Source organism: Homo sapiens, chromosome 17, assembly GCF_000001405.40.
Source record: "Homo sapiens chromosome 17, GRCh38.p14 Primary Assembly".
Taxonomy (NCBI): domain Eukaryota; kingdom Metazoa; phylum Chordata; class Mammalia; order Primates; family Hominidae; genus Homo; species Homo sapiens.
In genome coordinates, this window is record NC_000017.11 from 72,401,620 (window position 1) to 72,420,124 (window position 18,505).

The 18,505-nt window shown below is 47.6% G+C and overlaps 1 long non-coding RNA gene across 5 annotated transcripts in view; it reads right to left on the reverse strand.

The window, feature by feature from the left end:
* Positions 1–1,702: 1,702 nt before the first annotated feature.
* The window catches only part of LINC00673 (long intergenic non-protein coding RNA 673), a 189,483-nt gene continuing 172,680 nt past the window's right edge, over positions 1,703–18,505 (reverse strand). For all 5 annotated transcript variants that reach the window (NR_152515.1, NR_137280.2, NR_152516.1 and 2 more), the window contains one exon: positions 1,703–3,197. This is a non-coding gene — a long non-coding RNA (long intergenic non-protein coding RNA 673). The remainder of the gene's footprint in view (positions 3,198–18,505) is intronic.

Below are 18,505 nucleotides of genomic sequence, written 5' to 3' on the forward strand. Positions count from 1 at the left end.
CCAATGGTAGCGAAGGTAGTGAGAATCACTACAGGGGCAAACACCAAGGTGCATGATACGTCCATAAGTTCATCTCTACCCTAGCATGTAATTCCCTCCCTGTGGTCTTGCCATGCCAGATGAATGAAATTATCTGAAGGCCCCTGTTCCGGCACTGCAAACACTCATGCCTGTCTTTCAGCAGAGAAGATGGAGGTCAGATGCCCTGACAAGCAGCAACAACTTCAGGACGCCACGTGATCCTGAAAACCTGGCTTTTTCTAGTCCACAAAAGACCCTGTAATTTGCGTTCAGGTTGTTCTTAAGACCAAAAAAGTTGGGCTGGTGCAACTATCCCTTACCCACTCCCCTCCCTACCCCCGCCCTGACTACCACCTCCAAATTCTGCTCCCTCATCCCAGATAAAAGTCAGTGTCTAGAAAGGTAAGTATAAGCTGGGAGGCCCCACTCCACACTGAATTGAACTCAAAGGTTATCTAGGAGCCTTTAGAGAGAATGTACATACTTAGCCCCAGTTTACACACCCTTGATATTTTAAAGGATTCTAGAGTTTAAAGGAATTTCAGGAAGTCCTCTAGCCAACTCCTTTGCTTCCCAGACAACACCATCCCAAAGGTTTTAGTTCTTGATCTCTGTCTAGCAAAGATGCAGATTTGGAATCCTGGCTCATGATTCTACAGACAGCATGTGTATGCATGTGTGTGTGTGTGTGTGTGCTTGCACACATGTTACAGTCTCTCTTCCTCAGTTCCCAGTGGCTGTGTTAGTTTTGTTTCTTAATGAACTGTTTTGTTTTTCATGAGAAAGTTAGTTTCTCCTTTGTAAGTAAGGCTGTATTGGAGAGGAATCCCTGATACCTTGAAGGCCTGCCATGCCCACCATCCACAACACTCAGAAGGACATGGTCTCAGTTGGTTCTTCATACAACCCTACCATCCTGGAAACAATTGATTTGGTCAGCATTGGTGCCTGATCCAATAGCATCCATCTGTGGCTGCCTGAAGGCCAACGAAGTAACCAGACGCAAAAGCTCTGAATGCAGATTGGCTAAACCAGTCAACAGCATCAGTCAGTTAATAGTAAGTAACAAAGTAGAGGCATGGTCGTTGAGTCACCCAGGAGGGTGACCAGTTTTCCCAGTTTGCCCAGGACTGTCCCAGGTTTAGCACTGAATGTCCTTCATCCCAAGAAACCCTTTAGTCCTGGGCAAACTGGGACCGTTGGTGACCTTCAGCTCATCACGATGGCAGAATTCTAAAGTCAGGGGCAGCGAACCCTGCTGCTGAACAGAGGATCAAAACGACCATGATGGTATTGCTCTTGTTATCTTTGAAAACCAACTAGTGCTTCTGCATCTGCTGAATGACCTTGGGCTTTTTGAAAAGGCTTAGCTAGGCAGTGGCTGGGACTATTTCCTGTCTACCTTACTGTGACTTTTGAATAAACCAGGATTTATGAAGGTAACGTAAGTGGATCTCTGTTCCTTGACACCTGTAGGAATCCAAGGAATACAATGCCTGTAACTGTGTGTCAAGAAAGGAAGGAAAAGGTGAAAACCCATCAACAATCTGTAAATTTCAATAGCTCTAAACATCTTCAAGAGGTTCTCCTCAATCATTTTGTGATGAATCTGAGATGTCCACAAGGACTCCACTGTTCTATTTAGAAGACACCAAATTCACTAAATGGTCATACAAGCACAGCAACTGCAACATACAAAAACTTTAATTATTTTTGCAAAAAGAAAGCCAACTATTCGCCTTGGAAATAATAATGAAGTACAAATAGCTCTGACTCTGCATTTGGACAAGGATGAACCATGATAGATATTTAGAAAGGGTTTTAAATCATGTGTATGTTGGCTACAGAGTAAAAGGAACAGAGAAGACTCAAGCTATTGTCAGGTGTGTATGTGTCATCAGCACACACTGGGGGAGGAGAGTCCTCACTAAGTGCCACAACCCCTGATAGCTGTCAGTCTCTCATGAAGCACCATGATCTGGCATGGACTCCCAAATGCCACTTGAGAGAAGGTCTTCACAGCAGACTGTGCATCTGTGTCACAAAACACGGCTGCAATGAACGACAGTGTTCATTTTTTGCCCTTCCAAATGTATTCTTGTGTATGATCGAAGCAAAGAAAGTTGAGGATGGAGAACACGAGCCTTCACCATCAGTTCTGCTGCTGAAGCCTTCTCCAACAGCCCTAAGGTCCGAGAGCCTGATGAACTTCTGCACTGATCCGTGTATCATTCTGGAACTTGGTGGCCAGATCCCAAACAAATGAGAAGAGTTACTATTCCAAGGCTGCTTGCAACACACAAACACTGGCCTCTTTACACGGAGCAGGAACAAAAATTTAGATCCTATTTGACCTAAGTGTGGTTAACTATTCACTCTGTATCCGGCTGGAAGATAATGGAGCAAACAAGAATTGCTGAGTACAAAGGCACAGCAGACATGGGAGGCGGGGGGCAAGAAAGGGTGTGGTAGAAAGCCCTTTGGTTCCCTGGGACAGGGAGGGGGAAGAGTCTCATGAGCAGTAGCAGCAGAGGAAACACTTTCCACAAGGAAGAAGGACAAGGTCTGTCATAATGAGTCTTCTTCAACTGTAGGTCACCTCCAGCGATGCATCCCTCTGCTCCTTCAGGGCAACACAGACTATTTCTCGGTGTAAACGTCTTTTCTTTCTACCCAAATGGCACCTCAAATCCAGAGGTCTCTTTATTCTCCAAAATAAGATTATTATTATTATTATTATTTGAGACAGGGTCTCTCGCTCTTTTGCCCAGGCTGGAGTGCAGTGGGGTAATCACAGTTCATTGCAGCCTCAACATCCCAGGCTCCAGCCATCCTCTTGCCTCAGCCTCCTGGGTAGCTGGGACTACAGGCACATGCCACCATGCCCTGCTAATTTTTTATTTTATTATTATTATTATTTTAGAGATGGGGTCTCTCTGTGTTGCCCAGGCTAGTCTTGAACTCCTGGGCTCAAGAGATCCTCCCACACTGGCCTCCCAAAGTGTTGGGATTATAGGCATGAGGCACCATGCTCAGCAAAGAATTCTTGATCAAATCCAGAGCTCCTGCCTCTCAAGAGGTGGTCCAGCCTGAGCCAGGTCCTTCCAAGGGGTCCAGGTGGCACGCGGGGGTTCTGCTAAACTTCCTGGTGGGAATGTGGATCAGTCCTTCCCATCCTGTAGACCAAAAAACAGCATGAGAATTAGATTCTAGCTTCTGCCCTTTCAGGGGCTAGCATCACATTACTGTCTTTGGTTTATAATGCTTTAGCTGTTGAACAGAACATATACTTCAAAAAGCAGTATTTTAGTTAAGTGTCGGGGGTGGGGGTGGGGGAAAGCCTATTTATACCTCTCAAGGAACTATCCATCCACTGAATCATCACCAGGAACCCTCCTACACAAATCCCACTACGAAATCCAGAGCTGATTTTTTAAAATGCCACTGAGTGCAGCCAGTCCAGAGGAAGTGGAAAATTCTGTTTTTCAGCAGGTCACTATTATTTCTGTGATTTATGGGGCAGGGAGCATGGGGGTGGTAGATCACCCACTTTATAGTGGAAAGCCGAGGCACAGAGGGTGCCGGTGTTCTTGCTACAGAACAGCAGGGCTCTGGTCCCTAATCCTAATGTTTAGGATTTACTAGGAACTTCTCTCTGCTTCTGAAACACCCTTAACAATAAATTAGGAACTTACTCAGAGTGGATAGCTCAGAGGAAATGGTAAGACACCATTAAATATATTTATTTTTCCCTAATTCTGATAGCAAATAAATTAAGATGGAGTTGGACTCACGATACTTTCCTTGATGTTCACCCCTCAACATTACCTTCCATTACTGAGTAACAAATATATTGAATAGCACCAAATGCCTTCAGGAGAGTGCCCTATTTTAAAACTGATGAGTCTTAGCAGTGCAAGTCAGGGGCCTTGTATTAGTCTGTTTTCACACCAATATAAAGAAATACCTGAGACTGGGTAATTTGCAAAGGAGAGAGGTTTAATTGACTCTCAGTTCCACATGGCTGGGGAGGCCTCAGGAAACTTACAATCGTGACGGAAGGCAAAGAGGAGGCAAGGACCTTTCTCACATGGCGGTAGGAGAGAGAAGAGCAAGCAGGGGAAATGCCAGACACTTGTAAAATCATCAGATCTTGTAAGAACTCACTCACTATCATGAGAACAGCATGGGGGAACCCGCCCCCATGATCCAATCACCTCCCACCAGATTCCTCCCTCCACGCCTGGGGATTATGGGGATTACAATTCAAGATGAGATTTGGGTGGGGATACAAAGCCAAACCATATCAGGCCTATTCACAGATACAGATAACATAGGCCTTATGAAAGAGGCTGCCCTCTGGGTCTCTGATTCTAGCAATCACTATCAATCCACAAGGAATACCTGGGCAACCACAAATCCATGCATTCACAAGTACCATATTGGATTAGATGCTGTGGATACAGGAATCAGCCAGACAGGCAAACCCCACCCTCACAGGCCATAATGGAGACATAACATGGATCAAAGGTTTCCTTAGGCAAGTATGGGGCCAGAGGACAGCAAGGCCTTGAGGGAAATGCACGATGGATTCTGGGGGCATTTGGAAACCAACAGGCCCCCTTCTGTCCCTCAAAAGACCTGGGGGCCCCACTCAACCTGGTGCAAAGGAATTCTCCTTCATGAGGGCTCTAGCTGAGGCCTTGGTGGGGATGTGTGCAGTGGCCAGGAAACCCAGAGAGAAGGGCACCAGTGGCCAGAGATGAGATAATGACACTGTGGTGTTATTTGATAAACACACACACACACACACACACACACACACACACACACACACACACAGGTTTTCGTCCTAAGTTCCTAGCTCATAACTCCCATAGCCCTTGTTACAGTCTTTTGCTATAATGTTGGGCCTCAGGAAACAGAATCCCTCTCCTGCCCTCCTTACACCTGCTCCAAGACAGGACTCTAATCTTCCCCACCTTTCTGACTCATGAGACCCTCCCCAGAGAGGAATCTGCCCTATACCTTGGGGAAGGAATGCTGACGTCATGAAGCTTCCATGAAACCCCAAGAAGTCAGGGTTCTTCAGGGAGCTTCCAGATAGCTGGGCACATGGAAGTTCCTGGAGGGTGGAGCATCCAGGGAGGACAGGGAAGCCCAGTGCCCCTTCCCCCACACCTCACCCTATGCATCTCTTCACCTGTATCCTTTGTAACAGCCTTTAGAATAAACCACTAAATGTGTTTCCCTGAGTTCTGTGAGCTGCTCCAGGAAATTAATTGAACCCAAAGAGGGGAGTCATGGGAACCCCAACTTAAAGCTGGTCGGTGAGAAGTTCCAGAGGCCTGGACTGGCCACTGGTGTCTGGGGAGGAGGGGGCAGTCTTGGGTACTGAGTCCTCAACCCATGGGATCTGATGCTATCTCCAGGTAGATGGTATCAGAGTTGAATTGGTGTCAGGGAGAAACCTGCACACATTCGGTCACCAATGTCTTCCGTGTTGACTGTTGTAGTGTGAGGGCAGAGGAAAAGCACGGTTGGAGAGAGTTTTCCCTACACAGTTACAATGAGAGCCCAGAGGGACTGACAAGAAGAAAAACGGTTCAAGACATTTCTCTGCAGATGAACTGGGACAGGAGAGTCTGCATTTTAGAGTCAACTAAAAAATAAAAGGATGAAAAATCAAAAAGGCAACCAATGTGCAGACACAGAAGTGCTTGTGTGCTCCAGGCAGCTCTCTGATTGGTGGCCAAGAAGGAAGCCAGGAGTCTTTGCCACAGGTGTTGCCAGGGCCCTCTGGACACACCCTTTCATTTGGACCTGAAAACACCCCACACAAACCCAAAGTTTTGCTGACCTTCCTCTGGTTTCGTTTCTCCACCTGGTTAGTGGCCCTCTGAGCTGTCTCGGAGAGAGCCCTTTTCCCCTGGGAGATGCATGCAGCTCGCAAATTAATTGGCAACAGCCGGGTGAATCACCCAGGGACTTCCTTCTTGTTGCCGGGCAACTGCATGCACTTGGCAGTGGGACATTAAACACAGAGGGGAATGCTGTGAGGCATTTGCAAAATAAAATAAAAAGCAAAACATACAACACCACAGACTCTCATCCCAGCAGGGCTGGCCCAGCCAAGGGATGTGTGGGGGGATGAGGGAATCCACACAAGGGAGGAAAATGAGGTTAGGCCATAAGCAGATCCTAACTCTCCCTCCTCCCCACAAATCAAACTCTTCTAGATATGGCATTTGTATTCCACTAAAGACACACCTCTATTAGCCTAGAGAAAGACCATAGGAGGAGCAGGAATTAGAAGGCATCTAGAGATCTGATCCCCTAGAATTACAGGGAAGCTTTGCAAAGCTCGCTACGGAACTACCATAGCTACTGATTATGCTTCTCCATCGTACATCACTCCACAGGTTAAGTCACCTGACTGAGGTGACACAGGCCCCTCTAGGGCAGGATCCTTCCATACCCTCCCCTCCACCCCCAGTCCCTTTCCACTTGAATATTTTCATGTCTGTTGCTATGGCCACTGGGAGTTGATTAGACAAACCCTCCCAACACATCGCCTTGCCCTGTAGACCATGTTTCTGGCCTTTTTAAAAAAACCCCAGACAGAAGTGAAATCTATGTACATTCTGTGTTTGGAAAAAAAAGATGGGGACAAGAAATGGAAGAACAGTAGCAAGAGGGCTCCTGTTGGGGGCTGAATAGTAGCCCCCAAAGATATCCACACCCTGATCCCTGCAAGCTGTGAATCCTACCTCATATGGCAAAAAGGCCTGTGCAGATGTGATTAAGGATCTTGAGAAGTTGGCCTGGACTATCCAGGTAGGCCCTAACTGTGATCACAAGTGTCTTTATAAGAGAGAGGCAGAGGGAGATCTGATCCCAGAGAGGTAGTAGGCAGTGTGATAATGGAAGCAAGAGGTTGGAAGGATTCAAGGAAGGGGTCAAAGAAAACAGATTCTCCCCCAGAACTTCCAGAAGGAAGCCACGCAGATGCCTGGACTTTTGCTCAGTGAAGCTGGTCTCCAGAACTGTGAAAGAATGAATTTGTGTTGTTTTAAGCCACTACCCTTCCCGAAGGCAGGACTAATCTTCCCCACCTTTCTGACTATAGGTCTTGAGACCCTCCCCAGAGCAGGACCCGCCCTATACCCTTGGGGAAGGAATGCTGATGTCATGAAGCTTCCATAAAACCCCAAGAGGACAGGGTTCTCTGGGGAGCTTCCAGATAGCTGAGCACATGGAGGTTCCTAGAGGGTGGAGCATCCAGGAAGGGCATAGAAGCTCCACAGCCCTTCCCCCACACCTCACCCTATGCATCTCTTCACCTGTAGCCTTCGTAACAGCCTTTAGAATAAACCACTAAACGTGTTTCTCTGAGTTCTTCAAGCTGGAGAACCATCTTCTTCCTTGTCAGTCCCTCTGAGCCCTCATCGTGACTGTGCAGGGAAAACTCTCTCCAACCATGCTCTTCCTCTGCTCTCACCCCACAACAATCAACACAGAAGATGTTGGTGACCAAATCTGTGGGGATTATCCCCCCGACACGGAGCTGCGGACACCTGCTGGGTGTTCTCCAATTCAATTCTGACCACTGAGTTTGTGGTCATTTATCACACCAGCAATAAGAAACTAATCTTGTCAATACAGTGTATTTTCCGAGAGCCTTTTGAAGAGAGTATCATAGGAGAGATATTGGTAACAGTGAAGGGGAGCTGGGCAAAAGGGGTGGGAGCTGGAATTTGGCTTGGAAAGCTCAAACCAACACCCTGCAGCCTCAGCAAGAAAAGAGCAGGTCTGTGAGAGCATCTAAGGCAAGAAGTGGCCCTGGCTTCGAAGTGGAATGTTAAATTAAACCATTTGCTGACTGATAACTTGGGCAGGTGGCTTCATCTCTGAAAGCCTCAGTTTCATCATTGCAAAATAGAGATATTATTATCCACCTTGCAAAGCTCTTAGGATTAAATGAGATAATACATGAAAAGCAGCTGGCACATGGTAGATGCCAAATACACCACAACCCTTAGGAAAGAGTAGGTGTGCACAGATGAGCATAATCTGTTAGTTGGCCACTCCCGTATCTATTCTACCTTTTCCTCTTAGTAACAGAACTCTAATTTGGAGTTCACACATTGCAGATCAGAGTAAAAAGACTACATTTCCCAGCCTTCCTGTAAGTGAGATATGACCATGTGACCAAGATCTGGCCAAGGAGATTAAAGCAGAAGTGTTGCAGGACTTCTGGGGAGGCTGCTTCAAAAGGTGCTGGAAGGAGCCCAGTTTTTACTTGCCTGCCTTTACTATCTTCTGCTTTCAATGAGGACATGATGGCTGGTGCTCCAGCAATCATCTTGGACTCAGGGACATGGAAAATGGAAGGCATGCAGTCAGATGGTCTAACAGGAAGATGGGAGCCTAGATGGCTGACAACTCCACAGCTATCACGTTAGCCTTAAATGGCCTCCCTCTGGATTTCTATGTGAGAGAGAAATGCTCTTCTGTCTTAGTTAAGTCATTGTTGTGTTGTCTTGGATTTTTTTATTTTTTTTAGACAGAGCCTCACCCAGGCTGGAGTGCAGTGGCACAATCTCAGCTCACTGCAACCTCTGGCTTCCAGGTTCAAGTGATTCTCCTGCCTCAGCCTCCCGAGTATCTGGAATTACAGGTGTGTAAAACATGCCCAGCTAATTTTTGTATTCTTAGTAGAGATGGGGTTTCACCATATTGGCCAGGCTGGTCTCGAACTCCTGGCCTCAAGTGATCCACCTGCCTCGGCCTCCCAAGGTGCTGGGATTACAGGCGTGAGCCACCGTGCCCAGCCCGTTGTTGTGGATTTTTAGTAATCATCATGGGTACAATATAGCACAGATATAGGCAAGTAGGATTCAGAGTCACTCAAAGACAATGGTTCTCAAACTGTAGCCCTGATCAACAGGCTTGACATCACCTGGGAACTTGTTAGGAATGCAAGTTCCTGAGCTCCACTCCAGATTTACTGAATAAAAAACTCTGAGAGTGCAGCCCAGCAATTTGCTTTAATAAGCTCTCCAGGTGATTCTGATGCAAACTCAAGTGTGAGAACTACTAGTCTAGAGCAAGATTTCTCAACCAGGCATGCTTGGGGTGGGACAATTCTTGGTTGTGGGAAACTGTCCTGTGCATTGTGCGACGTTCAGTGCCATCCCCAGCCTCTACTCACTAGATGCCAGAGCCCCCCGCAACCTGATCCTAGGCGTGATCATCAAAAATGTCTCAGACATCGGGGTATGCCTGGGATTGGGGGAGCGGACAGTAAGAGTGTCCCCAGTGTAGAAACACTGTCCCAAAGGAGTAATTCTTAACCTTGGCTACGCTATAGAATCACCTAGGAAGCTTTTCAAAATTCCACTGTCTCAGCCTCATCCCAACCCAGTTAAGGCAGAATCTATGAGGGCAGGAGGGAGACAGCAGTGAAAACTCCCTGGCTGAGTCCAATGATGAGCCAAGGTTAAGAATCGCTCATTGCAGAGGGGCAGCCAGCCAGAAGAGGAACTGTGTGCTGCGAGCTGGTGAAGGTACTGAATCCTGATCGTGAGCAGGACATAAGAGGTTCCAAAGCAAAAACTGTAATAAGAGTGGCTGGGGTAGACCTGGGAACCAACATTGTACCTGCCAGATGGGTGACTAGACGGGGTGGAATTCCTGGCAGCTGTGTCACCTCATTTCCCATAAGAACAGGGTGGACACCTTTCAGTCTCTCACATAAATAACCACACAAAGCCTCAGTTTTCTCCCCTAATAAGCAGCAAACAATAAGCCAGCTCCCATGAGGTGCTAAGCATTAGCTCATCCCACGAAAAGAACTGTCTTAATAAAGGCAGCCATGTGACCGTGAGCCTCTTTCAAGATAAACTCCATGGGCACAAGGATACTCTCTGAGCAAGCACAGATTTCACATATATTTAATGGAGCCCTGACAATAAGCTTGGCAATGGGGCCATAAAGGAGGTGGAGTGGAGAAGGAAGAATTAAACGAGAAACCAGTGACCAAGAATGAGGGAGGGATGAACAAGCAGATGCCCTCTCCTTAAAAAGAAAGATTAAGTCCCGTATAAATTCTTTCTCCTGCCGGGAATGACTTTTTTCTTCATTATTTCATTCCCAGCCTGCTCTGCTAAAATGCTGAGCCGAGCTTTTCCTTGTTTCCCTTGGCTTAAATCATTAAGTCCAGGATGTCAGTATGGGGAGGCAAGGGGGTGTAGAGAAGAGGAGGAGAAAAGGAGGAAGCCAACCGGCTCTCACTCTCTCAGGTGTACCAAGTCACTGCAGGACCAGGATCAATGGCTTCCCTGCACTCTACGTTTTCAGCCCCACCTGGCTAGCCCAGATGGAAAGATAAAGGAACAGGTACCAGTCTATAAAGCATGTCTCCCGGAGGCCTTAGGGCCAGCATGTCCATTCTTTCCCAAGGGATTTGCCTTCTATTCTTTCAGTCCTTTTACTGCAGCTGATTGGGACAAGGAAGAAGACGTCCAATTGCTCCATACCAGCAAGACCAGAAAGACAAGGAACCCAGGATTCTGTTCCAGGTTCCTTTTCTGTGCCTAAGGATTTCCAACAGGTCACTGCAACAAGTGAGTCTGAAGAATATCGGACCTTGTTGCTTCCAGTGTTCCCACCTTCTTCTTTCTTTTTTTGAGACGTCGTTTTGCTCTTGTCACCCAGGCTGGAGTGTAGGAGTGCAGTGGCGCCATCTCGGCTCACTGCAAGCTCCGCCTCCCGGGTTCACGCCATTCTCCTGCCTCAGCCTCCCGAGTAGCTGGGAGAACAGGCGCCCGCCACCACGCCCGGCTAATTTTTTTTTTTTTTTTTTTGTATTTTTAATAGAGACGGGGTTTCACCATGTTGGCCAGGCTGGTCTTGAACTCTTGACCTCAGGTGATCTGCCTGCCTCGGCCTCCCAAAGTGCTGGGATTACAGGCGTAAGCCACTGCACCCGGCCCACATTCCTTTCCTTACCCTCACCACCCCCTCCTCACAAAGTCAGAGATCTCCCACTTGACTCAAGTCCCTGGGTTCCCTCCAGCCAGTAAACCCCGTGTGCAAATGTCCTGACTCTTGCAAAAGTGTTAAAAAACAAACCTTAAAAAGCTTCCAGATGTTCTGTTTGTATTGTGGTGCTTCTCTGCGCTGGTCTCCAGAGGCCAATACGCAGTGCACAGCATCCTGACTGCCCAGATAAAATATGAGGCAGCCAAGAGGCACAGCCTGGGGGTGAGTGGGGATGACCCTTCCCCCAGGACCACGGCTCCCCCAGTTCACCCATTAACTCTTCCATTGCCAAAGGGCAACTTTCCACGCAAAAACCTTCAAAAGACTGCAAAGGAACAAGTCTGATAAGCTTTTAGGTTTTGTCTCCTCTGAGTGTCCACCTCACCTCACCATTAAACTTCTCACACCAACTGCCTTTGGGATGTCGAGTCAGGGACTCAACGACACAAGAGTGACCCTCCTACTTAAGATGCTAAGTTACCATTTTCAAGGACATCTTAGGAGCTGGACCATCCAGAATGCGGGAACAGAGTTCATGAGTTGTCGAGGCCCCTCTGGGGCTGGTGGCCTCTGATCTACAGAAAGGTAATTGCCAACGGGCCAGCTTGTGCACACACAGCCACACACGCAACCCAAGGTGCACGCACCTGAGGGCCCACGATTCTTTGCACAGGGTGACGCCTGCTCCCTTTGATGCTTGCCGGATGTGTTCCCAATGGGCAAAAACCAGACCTCAATAAAACCCGGCATTATCAAGAGGCCGGTGGTTTGTGATTGCACCAGCCTGTTATCTCCGAGGCCCTGGGTGGGGCTGCTTTGCGGTTCTCCATTGAAAAGCATTAACTTATAGGTAGATCAAAGACCCTCCCGAACCAGCCGACCTGGTCCCTTGTTTGTCCCGGTGGACTGTGCCAAAAGATGGACTTTAAAGATAATAGGTACCCCAGTCCCAGACTCCCTTCTGCCCTCCCTCTCCTTCTCATGCACTACGTCCCTCAGGGGCCATCCAACAGCCAATCATAAGGCCTTTCCTTCTCTTTCTGCAGATGACCCATTTAGAACAAGTCGGGGACCTGGCCGGACAGAGTCCTGGCCCTGCTGCAACAATGGGGATCGAGGGGGAGAGAGAAACAGTGACTTTGAGACCAGGCAGGAGCTCTTCTCCCCTTTGGCAATCAGGCCAGGAGTGAGGTTCCAGAGAGACAGTCGCTGATTCCACTCTCTCCTCATGAGGGATAAACTGCTGAGTCCTCTTCCCTTGGTCCCTAAAGTTCCCTGTTGGCCTCTACTGCCCACCCAGATGTTTGAGAGCCAGCGGTCAGTCTGCAGTGAGGACACAGTGGGACCTCTGAGTTGTTTGGATCTGGGTCACCGAGCAGGACTGCCCATTGATATGGGAGAGAAAGAGCATGTGTCCCCAGACTGTGGGTGCCAGCAGCCTGCTCGCCTCCTGATGTTCCCCAACCCAGTAGTGTAGGTCGACCCGGTCAGCTGCAGGCTGCAGGCTGCAGTAGCAGCCATGTTTTTCTTCTTGTGTTGAGGGTACCAAGCTCACTGTCTGGCAAAGAAGAGGCAAACGAATGAATGAATGAACAAATGAATAAATGAATGGATCACTAGCAGCACAAGCTAGTCATCTTAAAGCATGGGAGGCCCTTAGAACATGAACCCACTCATTCCTACCAACAGGAAAACACTTCAGGTGGCAATTCTCAGAGATCCCACAGCTTAATGATACGAAGTCAGATCAGGGTTCCAGTCCTGGGTTAGTTAGCCTCTTAGGAGTCGTAGGCTCCTGGGCAAGTTACCTCAAATCTCTTGAACCCATCTGTAAAACAGGGATAATTTCTAGGCTTGTTGTGAGGACTGAGTTAAGTACTAAAGACTCAGTTAATTTTTTTTTTTTTTTTTTTTTGAGATGGAATCTCTGTCTGTTGCCAGGGTGGAGTGCAATGTGCAATGGCACAATCTCGGCTCACTGCAACCTCTACCTCCCGAGTTCAAGCAATTCTCCTGCCTCAGCCTCCTGAGTAGCTGGGACTACAGGCGTGCACCACCATGCCCAGCTAATTTTTGTAGTTTTAGTAGAGACAGGGTTTCACCACATTGGCCAGGATAGTCTCGATCTCTTGACCTCGTGATCTGCCCGCCTCGACCTCCCCAAGTGCTGGGATTGCAGGCGTGAGCCACCGTGCCCGGCCTATTTGTTCTTATTAATCTATTTCCCTATGGCATTATCTCCATTTCAAAAATACAGTCAGCACATTTCTGAAGAGGAAGGACATTAAGCCACTTCCGTGGTTATTTTCCTGCTATAAACCATTCCTAAAATGTGTACAATAAAGCCCAGATCCATCTTCCATTACTCCTTTTTTTTCCTTTTTAAATCAATAAAATTGTTTGTAACATTTAGATTAACCCTTACCTCACCTCCTTCTATATTCCCTCAACCACCCCTAAAAGTTCTGAGAACTTGTGTCCACATGCAGGGAGGAGGTAATGAAGGCAGGAGTCATGAGCAGGGCACTTAAGACACCCTCACCATGAATGATTTAGCTCAGCTACTGATAAAGGCGTTATTCCAAAACAGCTAAGACTAATCCATACTCTAGCTTGGCTATTATTTCATGCTACATTACATAGAAATCCAACTCCTGTATCTTTCCCTTGTATCTTTCATCTTTCTAATTTGTGTTCTCTCTTCCTTGAACCCCTGGTTTGTCTGTCTCTGTCTCACTCTCATTAGAGACACCACGGCCTTATGAGCCAAGATAGGCCAACTCAACTGGAAAGGATGCTTATGGGGGCTCTGTCTGTTCTGCCTGGTCCTGGCCCCACATGGCCTGGCCAGCTTGTGGCATCTGTGCCAAGGTGAGCGGGGAAGCTGGGCCTCGGCACCCTCCCATCACGATGGGGCCAGGCTGTTACCCAAGGCTGCAGCTGGACTCTCAGAGGCACAGGGAGGTCAGGCAGCAAGTTCACAGAACAGGCCACCCACACGGCACATCAGGGCTGCTGGACTGTCCCCAGGGCCAGAGCCGCTCTGGCCCTTGGCCCTGACTCGGAAGACTCCACCATATGGCCTCCCTCTGGGAGGGTGAGAGGAAGAAAAGAAGTAAACCAGGGGCTAGGAAGAACCATGCTGCCCTCTGAATGCCAGAGACCCTTCTTGGGCACGGGGTTGGTGGGTATTAGATTTGCTCCCAGCAGGTCTGAGACAAGAAAGGCGGTGTCCAATAAATGAAACGGGTAACAGCTGATAGCAATACGATAGATGAGCAGATGAGATTGGGCTCTCCCTTTCTGCTCTTCTCGGGGTCGTTCTCTCTTTCTCTCTCCAGCCCCTAAATGTGTTTCCAGGGTTTGGTCTGAACTTCAAAAACCCTAAAGTTTTTGGGAGTCTTCACACTTTTCTAATTAAAGACCCAAACTGGATTTTCATGTTTGCAGAGAACTTTGAGCAAAAGTGTAGGCAGCACAGCAAAACAGGAAGAGAATGATCTCTCTCTTGTTCTCTTGTGTGTTTTTTTTTTTGTTCTCTCTCCCTCTCTCTCTCTTTCTCCTCCCCCTAAAATGTACTGGGGGGTAGGGGAAGGAAGCAAACAAAACCTCTCTGCAGCTTTGGCCCCTAAGTCCCCTGAGCCTGCCAGTGTTCTGTTGACAGCCTTTCTCTTTTCTGCGGTCCTATAGCCACCAGTTCCATCCCTGTTGGGGCAGGGGTGGGGGTGGGGAGAGCTGGGCAAGGCTCTGGGAAAAGAGAGGAAGGAGGCAAAGAGTAGATTCTCTGGCACAGCTGCCAAGAAAAGAGCCCAAATGCCTCATCTCAGCGGAAGGCAACCCTCCTGGGCTCCCAGGCATGCTGGGGCTTGCTGAAAACCAGAGCCCTGGCTGGCAGAGGCGGTGGACAGGGAACCAGAATTCAAAGGGGCGGCCGAAGGAGGGGGGTGCGGGGGAAGAGGGGGAGGTTTCAGTGAATCATATAAATTAGAGACAGAAAGGATGTCAGGCCACCTTCATTTCCTTCCTCTCCTAATGGGAATTATCTCATTAGCCCCGAGCTTCCTAGAGGCTAACTTTAAATGATTCCTGTAATGGGGGTTTCAGTGTACACCCCACCTCCCCATCCGATCTGACTCTTAGGAGAGCTAAGAAAGGCTCTTAAAGGAACAGCAACAAAAAGATGCCAGTTCTATCTACTGACCACTGAATATTTCATGCAACCTAAGGATGGCCCTTTCTCCTTCTAGGTCCACTTTTAGGAATTTATTGTGAGAAAATAGTCATGAATATGGTGATGAGCTGTATAATGGCACAAACTCTTGCTCCCCTCCACTCCCTAACAAAAGACAGTCATGTTCTAATCCCTGCTATGTATGAATGTTACCTTATGGTATATGGTAAAAGGGACTTGGCAGATGGAATTAAGTTAAAGGTCTTGAGATGGGGAGATTATCCTGGATTATCCAGATGGACCCTAAATGTAGCTGTAAGTGTTCATATAAGAAGGAGGCAGAGGGAGACTTGACTACAGAGAGGAGAACTCCACAAAGGCAGAGACTGGAGTGATGTGGCTCCAAGCCAAGGAATGCCAGCAGTCATCAGAAGCAAAAAACAATTCTCCCCTGAAGCCTCCAAAAGAAACCTGCCCTGATGACAATGACTTGGTTTTAGCTCCAGAAGTCTCAGTCAGACTTCTGACCTCCAGAGCTACAAGAGAAAAATCTGTGTTGCTTTAAACCACCAAGTTTGTGGTAACTTACTACATCAGCTTCAGGAAGCTAGTACAGATATAAATAAAGTTTGCTGCAAGGATTGTCATCAGAGCCTTATTTCACAGCAAAAGGGAAAAAAATGTTGGAAACATAAAAAAACTATTAAAAAATAACCATGTCACATGTTCCTACAATGAAATACTAAACAATCAAGAAAATATTGAACTATTACTTAATGATAAAAGATTAACATCCTATAACTAAATATGGTTCCTATTTCCTTTGCTTTTATACATTTTTCTAATAGTAAGCATCTTATAATTCCTTCTGTCATTGTATAAGTTACATGTTTATTTGCAGAGTGGTATGAGTGTTAAGGATGGTTTGATCCCTTTCTATGAATAAAGATGCAGGAACTGGTGGAAATTTAGTAGAGGAAGTCAAACGGAGCAGGAGGTCCAGAGTTGGCATCCTTCTGGGTTCTGAAAACCTCCAAGGTTCCTGGCAAAAAGACTCTCCTCTACACACACCTCATCCTGGCACCATGAGGCATCTGGCCTGCAGACCCTGCCTGCTAACAAATGAAAGAGTCCAGTCTCCTTACCATGCGGCTCAATTCCCCAACCCCCCACCTCAAGTCTGGGAGAAATACAGACTTGAGGTGGGGGGTTGGGGAATTGGGCTGCAAAAATAACCCTCAAAGCATGGTTATTTTTGCCTCCTTACTCTTATCTGTCTTTCAAGGTTGGGTGGTGTATTAGTTTACTAGGGCTGCCATTTCAAGTTAGTACAAACTGATGGCTTAAAACAACAGGAATTTCTTCTCTCACAGTTCCGGAGGCCAGAAGGCCAAAATCAAGGTATGGAGAGGGTTGATTCCTTCTGGTGGTTTTAGGGGAGAATCTGCCCCCTGCCTCTCTCCTGGTTTCTGCAGGCAATCCTCAGCATTCCTTGGCTTGCGGATGCACCACTCCAATCTCTGCTCCATCTTCATAGTGCCTTTCTCTCTGTCTTCTTCTCTTCTAAGGATGTGTCATTGGATTTAGGACCTGAATCCAGGATGATTTCATCTCAAGATCCTAGCTAATTACATGTGCAAAGACCCTATTTCCAAATAAGGTTAGATTCTGAGGTTCTAGATGGACATGAATTTTGGAAGTTCACTACTCAAACTATTACAGAAAGCCTTCATCTTCTCTTTCTCTTTGGAGACAGGGTCTCACTCTGTAGCCTGCCTCGAGTAAAATGGTGCCATCTTGGCTAACTGCAACCTCCGCCTCCTGGGCTCAAGTGATCCTCCCACCAGGATCCTCTACAAAAAAATACAAAAATTAGCTACCTGTGTGGCTAATTTTTGTAGAGACAGAGTCTCCCTATGTTGCCCAGGCTGGTCTTGAACTCCTGGGCTCAAGCAACCCGCCCACCTCTGCTTCCCAAAGTGCTGGGATTACAGGTATGAGCCACCATAGCCAGCCTCCCTGCTCTCTCTCTATTTCAGTCCATTTTTTTCTCTAAGTTTCAGTAACTCCACGAGGTCTTCTCTGATTCTTCCAGGTCCCATCCCTTCACAGAACTTTTCTGTAGTCTGCATCCCACAATTCAGCCATAATGCCATACTCTCATCCCCTGTTCATTGCCCAGGACCTACAGATGGAAGTATCCAAAGGCAGATGGACACTCCCTAAACGGATGAACTTCCCAACAACTGCAGTTGCCAATGTTAGAATGGGTGGCCTCAGGAGAGATAAAATTCTCCATCATTAAAGTGTCCAAGCAGAAAGCACCTATCTGGACAGGCTGGGAGGATGTTGTGGGTCTGAATGGGAGATGGAATGAGGTGGTCAAAAAGAGTCTGATTTTATTAAATATGAGAACAAAGACTGTACTCAAATAACTTAGCACAGTGCTGAGCACTGAAAAGGCACTAAGCAGATGGGTATTATCCCACTAGGGATGTTCCTTTAAATCTCAATCTTCCTCCTTTCAACAAATGCATGGAACTATACAAAGCAAAATAAACCATGAGAAAGAAAATGCTAAGTCTGAGACTATTTGTATATTCAATGGCCATTTGCAGACCACCTCCTTGGTATACTGCACTATGGGATAGAATCTGACACTCTTCTGCAAGTCTCTCTTCTTTGATGGCAAGGTGACAAGCAGGGCATGGTCGCATGAGCCTGTAATCCCAGCTACTGAGGAGGCTGAGGTGGGAGAATCACTTGAGCTTGGGAGTTCAAGACCAGCCTGGGCAACATGGTGAGACCCCATCTTCAATTTTTTTAAAAAGCAGCAGCAGAAGCAGCAGGTGATAAACCAGGGCAAATCCTATGCCAGGAGACACCTAAATCAGCACCCCCAATGGTTATGTGACCTGAGAAAGGAACTCCATGCCACCAGAATGTCTAGATGAGCAGTTGGAGGGTCCCTTGGCAAAACCTAAGAGATGGGGTTCTGGGATCTATTTTTGCGCCTGCCCAACCCACTAAGAAAGGGAGAGAAGGCAGAGGAGCTGCTCTCTGCAGCTGCCAAGGGCAGGCTGTCTGCTCATGCTGGAGCCCAGACAAAGCACACCCACCCGGTGGTGATTTATCAGCCGTGGGAGGCCCAAGAAGCTCTTAAGCCGCAGGTGGGTGCCTGTAAAGCCACCCTCCCTGGGGAGCACAGACCTCAGGCCTTGCTCTGCTGCTAATCACCATAAGCACCCCGGTGCCTCAACCCCGATC